The 13,451-nt window shown below is 38.3% G+C and overlaps 1 protein-coding gene across 28 annotated transcripts in view, besides 3 other annotated features; it reads left to right on the top strand.

Moving 5' to 3' along the window:
* POLK (DNA polymerase kappa) overlaps window positions 1–13,451 on the top strand; it is a 99,218-nt gene that overhangs the window by 46,664 nt on the left and 39,103 nt on the right. For 23 of the 28 annotated variants that reach the window (NR_170560.3, NR_170559.3, NR_144315.3 and 20 more), the window contains one exon: window positions 11,903–12,055. The exons of 1 other annotated variant lie outside the window; for it this stretch is intronic. Coding sequence is in view for 22 of the 27 variants with exons in the window: in XM_054328411.1 (XP_054184386.1) it covers window positions 11,903–12,055 (153 nt within the window). In the remaining 5 variants the exon portion in view is untranslated. Of the gene's footprint in view, window positions 1–11,239; window positions 11,354–11,902; window positions 12,056–13,451 lie in introns of those variants that run through there. 4 more of the 28 variants (NM_001395893.1, NM_001345922.3, NM_001395902.1 and 1 more) reach the window with 2 other exon arrangements.
* Window positions 8,143–9,342: an enhancer, noted in NCBI's record as "MED14-independent group 3 enhancer chr5:74861405-74862604 (GRCh37/hg19 assembly coordinates)". NCBI's record gives its function as "activates an origin of replication core promoter dependent on BRD2, BRD4, P300/CBP and CDK7 cofactors, and independent of MED14, by STARR-seq in HCT116 cells {active_cell/tissue: HCT116}" and the evidence as "EXISTENCE:reporter gene assay evidence [ECO:0000049][PMID:35650434]".
* Window positions 9,297–9,516: an enhancer, noted in NCBI's record as "active region_22682". NCBI's record gives its function as "activates an Ori minimal core promoter by ATAC-STARR-seq in GM12878 lymphoblastoid cells {active_cell/tissue: GM12878}" and the evidence as "EXISTENCE:reporter gene assay evidence [ECO:0000049][PMID:35858748]".
* Window positions 9,537–9,616: an enhancer, noted in NCBI's record as "active region_22683". NCBI's record gives its function as "activates an Ori minimal core promoter by ATAC-STARR-seq in GM12878 lymphoblastoid cells {active_cell/tissue: GM12878}" and the evidence as "EXISTENCE:reporter gene assay evidence [ECO:0000049][PMID:35858748]".

A 13,451-nucleotide genomic window follows, 5' to 3' on the forward strand; every position in this document is an offset into this window, starting at 1 on the left:
TAGAGTCTTCCTGTTCATGAACATGGAATATCTCTCCATTTAAAGATGCTCCTTGGTTTACAATGGAGTTACATTTGGATAAACCCATTATACAGTTGAAAAATTGTAAGTCAAACCATCATAAGTCCAGATATTCCCTGACTTAATGGTGGGATTATGTCCAGATAAACCCCTCATAAAGTTGAAAAATCTTAAGTTGAACCATCATAGGCCAGAGACCGTATTTAGTTCTTCTTTGCTTTCTTTCTTCAGACTTTGTAGTTTTCCTCATGTTGATCTTGTACATATTTTGTTACACTTGTTCCTAAGTATTTCATTTTTGGAGGTTTTAATATAAATTGTAATGTGTTTTATGTTTTGTTTTGTTTTTGAGACAGAGTCTCCCTCTGTCACCCAGGCTGCTGCGTAGTGGGATGACCTCAGCTCACTGCATCTTCCTCTTCCTGGGTTCAAGCAATTCTCCTGCCTCCACTTCCTGGTAGCTGGGATTAGAGATGCTCACTGCCATGCCTGGCTAGTTTTTGTATTTTTAGTTGAGACAGGGTTTCACCATGTTGGCCAGGCTGGTCTTGAACTCCTGAGCTCAAGTGATCCACCTGCCTCGGCCTCCAAAAGTGCTGGGATTACAGATGTGAGCCAACATGTTGGGCCTGTAATGTGTTTTAAATTTTAAATTTTACTTGTTCATTGATGGCATACAGGAAAGTGATTGACTTTTGTATATTAACCTTATATCTTGTAACTGATTATTATCACTTACTAGTTCCAGGAACAATATTCTTATAATTTTTGTTGTTGTTTTTTTTTTTTGGTCTGGGTATTGTACTTGGAAAATTATTCCTCATAACCATGCCTATGTCTTCTTTTAGTATTTTTATAGCTCTTGGCATACTCATATCTTTAGTCAATTTGGAATTTGTTTTGATGTAAAGTGTGAAGTATGTTTTTCTTAAATGGTGTTATGTTTTCCCTGCATAGTATTATTTTCCCTAAGTGGTGATTCACTTGTCCCAACTCCATTTATTGAATCATGAATCCTTTCTTCACTGAGTTGAAATGAAGTACTTCCAAATTAAAAAATTCTCAATTGTTCTTTGATTTATTTCTGGACTCTCTCTTCTAATCAATTCAGTCTTTTCCTGTATCAGTACCATACAGTTTTAGTTATTGAACGGTAGGAATATAGTTTAATATTCTCGCTTGTAACTCTTCTTTAAAATTTTTTTTGTATTTCTCATGCATGTTTCTTTCAAATAAACTTAGGCATCATTTTATCAAGGTTTTAAAAAAATCAGTTCTATCCACAGTAATATTATTTTAAAATTGATATTAATCCTTAAGCAACGTACTTTCTGGACATTTTCATTTTATTGATCTATAATCTACAAATATATTTAACAGTTTTAATGATACAGTATATAAGTGATGCTAACAACTGTTAGCTATTCATACTATTTTTAAAGCTCATATCCTTAAATATACTAATAATCTGAAGGAATAGAAAGTATCTTTCATTGTATAGCAGAATTTAAGATTTTGTTCCAGTTTTGGTTGACTATTTCATCAGAGGCTCTCTGGCATCTTTTGCAACAGGAATGGCAGGAAACGTGTTTTATGTTGATTGTTCAATTGTTTCATTTGTTGAGCTTCCTCCAAAAGAATTTGTATAAATGGGAGGAGATTGAGGAAGTTTAAGGAGTCAAGAAGGCCTGAGAGAACAGAGTTGTTTTCGTAGGAAATGTGTTTCTATTTTAGAGTCTTAAAATTTCCAAGTACTCGATTTTATTATGTGTGATATGATAGTATGAACTATTGCTAGTCGAGCTGAGGTAAGCAACTTTTACAGGCATGAACCTCTAGGGTGTTCAGAACCTCTCTAAGTATACTCCACCCTTTCCCAATCTCAGTGGACTTCTTAAAGCACAGTCATTTTTGTAACTGACAAATTGTTGTATAAGAACATGGGTTCATAAATCAAGTAGACAGATGTTTATGTTACATTGCATGACAGCTATACAGCAAATCAGTGCATTTTGACCATTTTGGCAATTTATTGATTTGGGGTTTGTTTTTTTGTTTTGTTTTGTTTTTTTTTTTTTTTTTTTTTTTTTTTAGAGACAGGGTCTCTCTCTGTCACCCAGGCTGGAGTGCAGTGGTGGTACCATCATGGCTCACTACAACCTCCAACTACTGGGCTCAAACAGTCCTCCCGCCTCAGCCTCCCAAGTAGTGGGGGGACTATAGGTGTACACTTTCACACTCAGTTAATTTTTAAAATTTTTCGTAGAGACAGGATCTCACTATATTGCCCAGGCCAGTCTCAAACTCCTGGCCTCAAGCTACCCTTCCACTTAAGCCTCCCAAAGGGGTTAAAGGCATGAGCCACTAGGGCTGGCCAACAATTGATTTTATTAACTCAAATTTATTCAACAGTCTTGGGGAAATACTAATTTAAGAAAACAAAACCAAAAAAACACATTATTTCTGAAATAGTCTCCTCAATGTAATAGAAATGGGATATTTATAAAGAAAATAAGACATAATATGGATGGAAAATATACCATTACAGTTTGATTTGAGTGTATTTCAACATTACAGACTTTAAAAAATCTATTATAGGGAAGCATCATAACATAATCAAAAACAGACTTCAGAGTAACCTGGTTTCAGTGTTTAGTGCTAACATTTACTAGCTCTATGACTTAGGGCAAATTACTTACTCTTACTGAGCTTTAGTTTCATCTATAAAATGGGAACAATAATTATGATCTCAGAATTATGACCAGTAAATGAGTTAACATAGGAAGCACTTAGCATATTATATGACACATATACCCAATAAATGTAACTTCTACTTTATAATTATAGATAATTAAGCCCTTATTGTATCCCTAGATAGGTGCATTACATGGGTGTCTCTTTTAATTCTTTCAATAACCTATTGAGGTTGGTTTAGTACCACTTTACAAATAAGGAAAGTAAGCATGAAAGGGGTTAAATTGCTCCCTGTCCTGTAACTAATGAGTTGCAGTGCTAGGACCCGAACCAAAGCCGTTATTCTATTTTTTGTTTCTTTAAAAAAATTTGTTTTTTTATTATACTTTAAGTTCTGGGATACATGTGCAGAATGTGCAGGTTTGTTACATAGGTATACATGTGCCACGGTGGTCTGCTGCACCTATCAACCCATCATCTACATTAGGTATTTCTACTAATGCTATCCCTTCCCTTGCCCACCACCCCTCAACAGGCCCCAGTGTGTGATATTCCCCTCCCTGTGCCCATATGGTCTCATTGTTCAACTCCCATTTATGAGTGAGAACATGCAGTGTTTGGTTTTCTGTTTCTGTGTTAGTTTGCTGAGAATGATGGTTTCCAGCTTCATCCATGTCCCTGCAAAGGACATGAATTCATTTTTTATGGCTGCGTAGTATTCCATGATGTATATGTGCCACATTTTCTTTATCCAGTCTATCATTGATGGGCATTTGGGTTGGTTCCAAGTCTGATATTGTGAATAGTGCTGCAGTAAACATACATGTACATGTGTCTTTATAGTAGAATGATTTATAATCTTTTGGGTATATAACTGGTAATGGGATTGCTGGGTCAAATGGTATTTCTGGTTCTAGATCCTTGAGGAATCGCCACACTGTCTTCCACAATGGTTGAACTAATTTACACTCCCACCAACAGTGTAAAAGCATTCCTATTTCTCCACATCCTCTCCAGCATCTGTTGTTTCCTGACTTTTTAATGATTGCCATTCTAACTGGTGTGAGATGGTATCTCATTGTGGTTTTGATTTGCGTTTCTCTAATGACCATTGATGATGTGCTTTTTTGTTTGTTGGCTGCATAAAGGTCTTCTTTTGAAGTGTCTCTTCATATCCTTTGCCTGCTTTTTGATGGGGTTGTTTGGTTTTTTCTTGTAGATTTGTGTAAGTTCCTTGTAGATTCTGGATATTAGCTGTTTGTCAGATGGATAGATAGCAAAAATTCTCTCCCATTCAGTAGGTTGCCTGTTCACTCTGCTGATAGTTTATTCTGCTGTGCAGAAGCTCTTTAGTTTAATTAGATCCCATTTGTCAATTTTGGCTTTTGTTGCAATTGCTTTCAGTGTTTTAGTCATGAAGTCTTTGCCCATGCCTGTGTCCTGAATGGTATTGCCTAGGTTTTCCTCTAGGGTTTTTATGGTTTTAGGTCTTATATTTAAGTCTTTAATCCATCTTGAGTTAATTGTTGTATAAGGTGTAAGGAAGGGGTCCAGTTTCAGTTTTCTGAATATGGCTAGCAAGTTTTCCCAACACCATTTATTAAATAGGGAATCCTTTCCCCATTGCTTGTTTTTGTCAGGTTTGTCAAAGATCAGATGGTTGTAGATATGTGGTGTTATTTCTGAGGCCTCTGTTCTATTCTATTGGTCTATATATCTGCTTTGTTACCAGTACCATGCTGTTTTGGCTACTATAGCCTTGTGGTATAGTTTGAAGCCAGGTAGCATGATGCCTCCAGCTTTGTTCTTTTTGCTTAGGATTGTCTTGGCTATACAAGCTCTTTTTTTGGTTCTATATGAAATTTAAAGTAGTTTTTTCTAATTCTGTAAAGAAAGTCAGTGGTACCTTGATGGGAATAGCATTGAATCTATAAATTACTTTGGGCAGTATGGCCATTTTTACCATATTGATTCTTCCCATCCATGAGTATGGAATGTTTTTCCATTTGTTTGTGTCCTCCTTTATTTGCATGAGCAGTGGTTTGTAGCTCTCCTTGAAGAGGTCCTTCACATCCCTTGTAATTTGTATTCCTAGGTATTTTATTTATTCTCTTTGTAGCAATTGTGAGTGAGAGTTCACTCATGATTTGGCTCTCTGTTTGTCTATTGGTGTATAGGAAAGTTTGTGATTTTTGCATATTGATTTGGTATCCTGAGACATTGCTGAAGTTGCTTATCAGCTTAAGGAGTTTTTGGGCTGAGACAATGGGGTTTTCTAAATATACAATCATGTCACCTGCAAACAGAGGTAATTTGACTCCCTCTCTTCCTAATTGAATACCCTTTATTTCTTTCTCTTGCCTGATTGCCCTGACCAGAACTTCCAATACTATGTTGAATAGGAGTGGTGAGAGAGGACATCCTTGTCTAGTGCTGGTTTTCAAAGGGAATGCTTCCAGCTTTTGTCCATTCAGTATGATATTGGCTGTGGGTTTGTAATAAATAGCTCTTATTATTTTGAGATACGTTCCATCAATACCTAGTTTATTGAGAGTTTTTAGCATGAAGGGGTGTTGAATTTTATCCAAGGTCTTTTCTGCATCCATTGAGATAATCATGTAGTTTTTGTCATTGGTTCTGTTTATGTGATGGATTACGTTTATTGAATTGCATATGTTGAACCAGCCTTACATCCCAGGGATGAAGCTGACTTGATTGCGTTGGATAAGCTTTTTAATGTACTGCTGGATTTGGTTTGCCAGTATTTTATTGAGGATTTTCGCATTGATGTTCATCAGGGATATTGGCCTGAAATTTTTTTGTTGTTGTTGTGTCTCTCTCAGGTTTTGGTATCAGGATGATGCTGGCCTCATAAAATGAGTTAGCGGGGAGTCCCTCTTTTTCTGTTGTTTGGAATAGTTTTAGAAGGAATGGTACCAGCTCCTCTTTGTACCTCTGGTAGAATTCAGCTGTGAATTGTTGTGTTTTTAGTAGAGGTGGGGTTTCTCCATGTTGGTCAGGCTGGTCTTGAACTCCCAACCGCAGGTGATCTGCCCGCTTCAGCCTCCCAAAGTGCTGGGATTACAGACGTGAGCCACTGTATCTGGCTGTGAATCTGTCTGGTCCTGGACTTTTTTTTGGTTGGTAGTCTGGCTAGCAGTCTGCTTATTTTGTTAATCTTTTCAAAAAAACCAGCTCCTGAACTCATTGATTTTTTTAAGGGATTTTCGTGTCTCTATCTCCTTCAGTTTTGCTCTGATCTCAGTTATTTCTTGTCTTCTGCTAGCTGTTGAATTTGTTTGCTCTTGCTTTTCTAATTATTTTAATTGTGATGTTAGGGTGTTGATTTTAGATCGTTCCTGCTTTCTCCTATGGGCATTTAGTGCTATAAATTTACCTCTAAACACTGCTTTAGCTGTGTCCCAGAGATTCTGGTACATTGTGTCTTTGTTCTCTTATTGATTTCAAAGAACTTACTTATTTCTGCCTTAATTTCATATTTATCCAGGAGTCATTCATGAGCAGGTTGTTCAGTTTCCACGTAGTTGTGCAATTTTGAGTGAGTTTCTTAATCCTGAGTTCTAATTTGATTGCGCTGTGGTCTGAGAGACTGTTATGATTTCTGTTCTTTTGCATTTGCTGAGGAGTGTTTTACTTCCAATTATGTGGTCAATTTTAGAATAATTGCGATGTGTTGCTGAGAAGAATGTATATCCTGTTGATTTGGGGTGGAAAGTTCTGTAGATGTCTATTAGGTCTGCTTGGTCCAGAGCTGAGTTCAAGTCCTGAATATCCATGTTAATTTTCTGTCTCGTTGATCTGTCTAATGTTGACAGTGGGGTGTTAAAGTCTCCCACTGTTATTGTGTGGGAGTCTAAGTCTCTTTGTAGGTCTCTAAGAACTTGCTTTATGAATCTGGGTGCTACTGCATTGGGTGCATATATGTTTAGGATAGTTAGCTCTTCTTGTTACATTGATCCCTTTACCATTATGTAATGCCCTTCTTTGTCTCTTTTCATCTTTGTTGGTTTAAAATCTGTTTTATCGGAGACTGGGATTGCAACCCCTGCTTTTTTTTCTTCTTTCTTTCTTTCTTTCTTTTCTTTCTTTCCTTTCTTTTTTGTTTGGTAAATCTTCCTCCATGTCTTTATTTTGAGCCGTTGTGTGTCTTTGCACATGGGATGGGTCTCCTGAATAGAGCACACTGATGGGTCTTGACTCTTTATCCAATTTGCCAGTCTGTGTCTTTTAATTGGGGCATTTATTTTGATCCTGTCATAATGATGCTAGCTGGTTATTTTGCCCATTAGTTGATACAGGTTCTTCAAGTGTCAGTGGTCTTTACATTTTGGTATGCTTTTGCAGTGCCTGGTACCGGTTTTTCCTTTCCATATTCAGTGCTTCCTTCAGGAGCTCTTGTAAGGCAGGCCTGGTGGTGACAGAATTCCTCAGCATTTGCTTGTCTGTAAAGGATTTTATTTCTCCTTCACTTATGAAGCTTAATTTAGCTGGATATGAAATTCTGGGTTGAAAATTCTTTAAGAATGTTGAATGTTGGCCCCCACTCTGTTCTGGCTTGTAGGGTTTCTGCAGAGAGATCTGCCGTTATTCTGATGGACTTCCCTTTGTAACCTGACCTTTCTCTCTGGCTGCCCTTAACATTTTTTCCTTCATTTCAACCTTGGTGAATCTGATGATTATGTGTCTTGGGGTTGCTCTTCTCGAGGAGTATCTTGTGTTTTTCTTTGTATTTCCTGAATTTGAGTGTTGGCGTTTCTTGCTAGGTTGGGGAAGTTCTCCTGGATAATATCCTGAAGAGTGTTTTCCAACTTGGTTCCATTCTTCTTGTCAGTTTTAGTTTCACCAATCAAATGTAGGTTTGGTCTTTTCACATAGTCCCATATTTCTAAGAGGCTTTGTTTGTTCCTTTTATTCTTTTTTCTCTAACCTTGTCTTCATGTTTTATTTCATTAAGTTGATCTTCAGTCTCTGATATCCTTTCTTCCGCTTGATCAATTCAGCTATTGATACTTGTGTATGCTTCCCGAAGTTCTTGTGCTGTGTTTTTCAGCTCCATCAGGTCATTTATGTTCTTCTCTAAACTGGTTATTCTAGTTAGCAGTTCCTGTAACCTTTTATCAAGGTTCTTAGCTTCCTTGTGTTGGGTTAGAATATGCTCCTTTAGCTCGGAGGACTTTGTTATTACCCACCTTCTGAAGCCTACTTCTGTCAATTTGTCAAACTCATTCTCCATCCAGTTTTGTTCCCTTGCTGGCATGAAGTTGGGATTCTTTGGAGGAACAGAGGTGTTCTGTTATTTGGAATTTTCAGCCTTTTTGCACTGTTTTTTCCTCATCTTTGTGGATTTATCTACCTTTAGTGTTTGATTTTGGTAACCTTTGAATGGCGTTTTTGCGTGGTTATCCTCTTTGTTGATGTTGATGCTGTTGCTTTCTGTTTGTTATTTTTCCTTCTAGCAGGACCCTCTTCTGAAGTTCTGCTGGAGTTTGCTGGAGGTCTACTCCAGACCCTGTTTGCCTGGGTATCACCAGTGGAGGCTGCAGAACAGCAAAGATTGCTGCCTGTTCCTTCCTCTGGAAGCTTCATCCCAGAGGGGCACCATCAGATGCCAGCTGGAGCTCTCCTGTATGAGGTGTCTGTCAACCCCTGCCATCAGGAGGCATTGGGGTCAGGCACCCACTTGAGGAGGCAGTCTGTTCCTTAGCAGAGCTTGAGCGCTGTGCTGGGCGATCCGCTGCTCTCTTCAGAGCCAGCAGGCAGGAATGTTTAAGTCTGCTGAAGCTGTGCCCACAACTGCCCCTTTCCCCTGGTGCTCTGTCCTAGGGAGATGGGAGTTTTATCAATAAGCCCCTGACTGGGGTTGTGGCCTTTCTTTCAGAGATGCCCTGCCCAGAGAGGAGGAATCTAGGAAGGCAGTCTGGCTACAGTGGCCTTGCCAAGCTGTGGTGGGTTCCACCCAGTTCGAACTTCCCACTGGGTTTGTTTACACTGTGAGGGGAAAACCACCTACTCAGGCCTCAGTAATGGATGACGCACCTCCCTTCACCAAGCTGGAGTGTCCCAGGTCAACTTCAGACTGCTCTGCCAGCAGCGAGAATTTCAAGCCAGTGGATCTTAGCTTGCTGGGCTCCGTGGGCGTGGGATCCGCTGAGCCAGACCACTCAGCTCCCTGGCTTCAGCCCCGTTTCCCAGGGAATGAACGGTTCTGTCTCTCTGGCGTTCAGGCACCACTGGGGTATGAAAAAAAACTCCTGCAGCTAGCTCAGTGTCTGCCCAAATGGCCGCCCAGTTTTGTGCTTGAAACCCAGGGCCCTGGTTGTGTAGGCACCCCGTGAAATCTCCTGGTCTCCAGGTTGTGAAGACAGTGGGAAAAGCGTAATATCTAGGCTGGATAGCACCATCCCTCACCAACGGCACAGTCCCTCACGGCTTCCCTTGGCTAGGGGAGGGAGTTCCCAGACCCCTTGTGCTTCCCAGGTGAGGTGACACCCCACCCTGCTTCTCCTAGCCTTTCGTGGCCTGCACCCACTTTCTAATCAGTCCCAGTGAGGTGAGCCGGGTACCTCAGTTGGAAATGCAGAAATCACCTGCCTTCTGCCTTGGTCTCACTGGGAGCTGCAGCCATCTTACCCGGGAATCCCCGAAGCCGTTATTCTTAACGAGTGTGACACACACCAGTTTTGAGCAGTAGCAAAAGGAACAACGTGCATGTTGGAGACTCAGATCAGAACTTGAAAGTCATTGGAAAATGGAAGAAAGGACAATATGAATGGGGATTTCAGTTGAAGAAACTTTTAAAAGCAGTAGTGGCATGCATCTGGTTGATGTAGAAAGAAAAGAGTTCAGACAAGGGTGACTAATGAGAGATAGTAAAGGAAAGTGGAATGTATGAGTCATGCAGTGGAGAGGTTTCCTTTTGGCAACTACACTTGCTTTAAGCACAAAAAAAGAGAATAGCTTGCTGAAGACATTATTATAGCATTAATATATGAGTCTGAGGAGAATTTTTTCCCATTTGACTTGCTTTCTATTTATTATCTTTTTCTTTTCTAGATGATTCCATGTCCAAGTATTTCAGATGCCACTTTCTTATTCTCATTTGACTGTTATTTCTTAGGTATATTTTCTGGATTAAAATAGAGTAGTTTTTAGTTTACATTTGTTTTTGTTAATCTCCATAATTTGTTTATATGTGGTCATGGTGCTATTCTCTGGTTCAGAATTGAGGTACTAAAAGAAGTAGGTTTTAATTAGCATGTTAAATTTTGGTAATATTGAAAGGTTCCATTTATTAGGTATGGGATTTTACTGTAAGAAGTTAGCCTTCTTCAAGATTTTTCTACTAGTACTCCTTTCACTTTTTAAACCAACTTTAATATACTGCTATAAATTCATTATTTTTCTCCTTCTAGTCTCCCCTCCCCGTCTCTCTTGTGAGAAAATAATTTGAAATCAGATAAGGTCTTTCTCCTGAAGGAACTGACAATTTAGTATCTAATACAGTAAGTGCCATGCAAGAGCAGGAAAGCAAGGAACATTAAATTCTGTGGCACAGAGGACAGACATTCCATTAAGATACGAAGAGATATTTCAGCTGATCCTTGAAGGCTTGTGACAGAGCTTGGAAAGGCACTCTAGACAGAGGAACAGCCTGAGGAAGGCATAGAGCAACCCAGGTCATTCAGTGAGCTGTAGCCTAAACAAGGGGAAGCCTCCTACAGATTTCACTGTACCTCCTGTAGACAAACATGAGTCAGGGTGATTGCTTCTAAAAGAGGAGTTATAGTTTTAACCTGCGACTAGTGGGCAGCTAGTGTCACAGTAAGACTAAGAAGGAAGGACATAAAAAAAATTCTGCAGAGTGGAGGCAAAGCTGGAGTACAACATGAGGGAAAAAGCCACATATACACCTATAGCTCTCCACCTTTGAGAAAACTTGCTAGAGGGAACTCCACGTTCCATAGATGACCCCACTTGCTCATTGCTGGCTGTTTTTCTCTCAGTTTTTAATGTTTTATTATGCAGCTATCCATTGATCCTTTTAGTAATAGATGTATTTATTGAACTTGTGCCATGTACCAGGTACTGTTCTATGTTCTGTATATTTTCCAGCTTATTTAATAGCTTTCTTATGATTTTTACTTTAATGGTCTTGGTAACTTCCCTATGTTGCATAGATCACAACTATTACACAGCCACCTCCAGCTGCAGGGTAAGCTGGGAAAGTGAGTATTTAGCCTTTCTTGCCTTGATAGTGGAGGCCGGCCACAAAAATGGAAGTTAGAAATGAGTATGTCTGCTGCAAAATCACTTTTCTTACTTGCTTCCTTTGTTTATTTCTACCCCCTTTCATTTCTTTCTCGTTGTAAAACTAAGTTGTTAGTTTTCTCTGAAGAAACTAAAATTCTTTAAAGATTAAGAATCTTCACTATTGTATTTGACATATATATTAAAGTTCATGAAGAATAAATTACAGCTTGGGTTTTAAATTTTACTTGTATAGATTAACATCAAATTTTAACATTATAAAAGCAATTCTACAGAGGAACATTTACATTATGCTACAGTATCTTCAGTTGTACCTTCCTGTTCAGCATAAACATCATATGCCAAAGAGGTACTATATTTTGTTGTATATTTCCTTTGTTGCTTTTTTAAGACATTATTATTATGAATCAAATGTCAGTTGTTTATTTTACTTACATTGAAGCTTTTAGTTATAGTGAGTTGGACTCCAAATTTATAAAGCAGTAGAATCATTTGATAAAAGCAGTTGGATTAGATCATTCATTCATTAAATATTAAGTTCCTGTTATGTGCCTAAGGGTATGGAGAGATGAAAGGGTTAGTAGGGAATTATATTTGAGGATAGGCTGTCTCTATGAAAATAAAAGCAATTACCAATTTTAATTTAAAAAACAATACAATATACATAGATAAACACTTATAAACAATAATAAAATATAAACCCATAAACACCCATGAACAACAAAATACACACCCATAAGTAAGTGGATGGGTGGATGGATGAATGGATGGATGGATGGATGAATGGGTGTGTGGACAGAGACTGATAGACACTTAATAAATTAAGATTAATGTTGTGGTTAATGGTGTTTCAATATTATGTTGTCTAAAAGTATGTTAACTTTTTTAAAAAATTAAGGTTGACAGATTTGCAATGGAATTAGAACAAAGCCGAAATTTGAGCAATACCATAGTGCACATTGACATGGATGCTTTCTATGCAGCTGTAGAAATGAGGGACAATCCAGAATTGAAGGATAAACCCATTGCTGTAGGATCAATGAGTATGCTGGTAAGTAAAGATCAAATACAAAAAGGAAATTTTATAACGTACTCAAGTAAGCTTTACTGTTTCATGAAGGGGGAATTCTTTATTGAGGTCTACCAGTTTGCTGAGTATTTTTCTGGGTGCCTTATATATGACTCAATTACTGAATCCTTTCAACATACTTTAAGGCAGGGGACCCCAACCCCCAGTTCACAGATTGGTATTGGTCCATGGTCTGTTAGGAACTGGGCCTCACAACAGGAGGTGAGCGTCAGGCAAGCAAACGAAGCTTCGTCTGTATTTACAACCACTTCCCATCACTTGCAGTATGCCCGAGCTCTGTCAGATCAGTTGTGGCATTAGATTCTCATAGGAGTGCAAACTCTATTGTGAACTGCACATGTGAGGGATCCAGGTTACATACTCATTATGAGAATCAAATGCCTGATGATCTATCACTGTCTCCCATCACCCCCAGATGGGATTCTCTAATTGCAGGAAAACAAGCTTAGGGCTCCCATTGATTCTACATTATGGTGAGTTGTGTAATTATTTCATTATATATTACAATGTAATTATAATAGGAATAAAGTGCACAATAAATGTGACGTGCTTGAATCATCTCAAAACTATCACCCCACCAGTCCGTGGAAAAATTGTCTTCCACGAAACCAGTCTCTGGTGCCAAAAAGGTTAGGAACTGCTGCTTTAAGGTACTAGTTTTTATTTCCATTTGGCAAAAAAGAAAACTCAGAGAGATGTTTAATAACTTGCCCAAAGTTACAAACCTAATAATTTCCATGGCAAATTAAATTTTTCCATAAGTAACCGTTCTAGTTAAAGAGAGTTGAAGAAGAAAGAAAAGGAAATGTTATTCTAAAGTATTAATAGAGATTTTCAAACTGATCTGCAGGCCAAATCCAGCTTTTTATTGGAACAAAGTCACACCCATTTATTTATTACTATTGTTGCACTAAAAGAGCAGAGTTCAATAATTAAGTGATCTGCAAAGCCTAAAATGATTACTATCTGGACTTCCACAGAAAAGAAAAGGTTTGCCAACCCTAGTTCTGGAATAACATACTTCGTTAATAGAGTACATTTAGAATGCAGTTAAATTGTTTTTCCCATGACTTAGAACTTTTGCTTTTCTGATTACTGAGTTGCTCTTCCTTTTTACCACTCTAACCTTAGAAGAACCAGGATAGCTATGTGTGGCTGAAAGTGTGTTGGAAATTAAAAGTAGCAACTAAAATAGATGAGATAATATTTAAAAAGTATTAGAAAAACAAGAAGAGTTCTTCCCTGTTCCTAACTCCTTCCCATGCCTTAGATAGCTACAAAACTAATTCTTACTGAGTGATTATTTTATTATAAAACTATAATCTGTTTGTTTTTTTATCTCTGCCTCTGTGAGTAT

Source organism: Homo sapiens, chromosome 5, assembly GCF_000001405.40.
Source record: "Homo sapiens chromosome 5, GRCh38.p14 Primary Assembly".
NCBI lineage: Eukaryota > Metazoa > Chordata > Mammalia > Primates > Hominidae > Homo > Homo sapiens.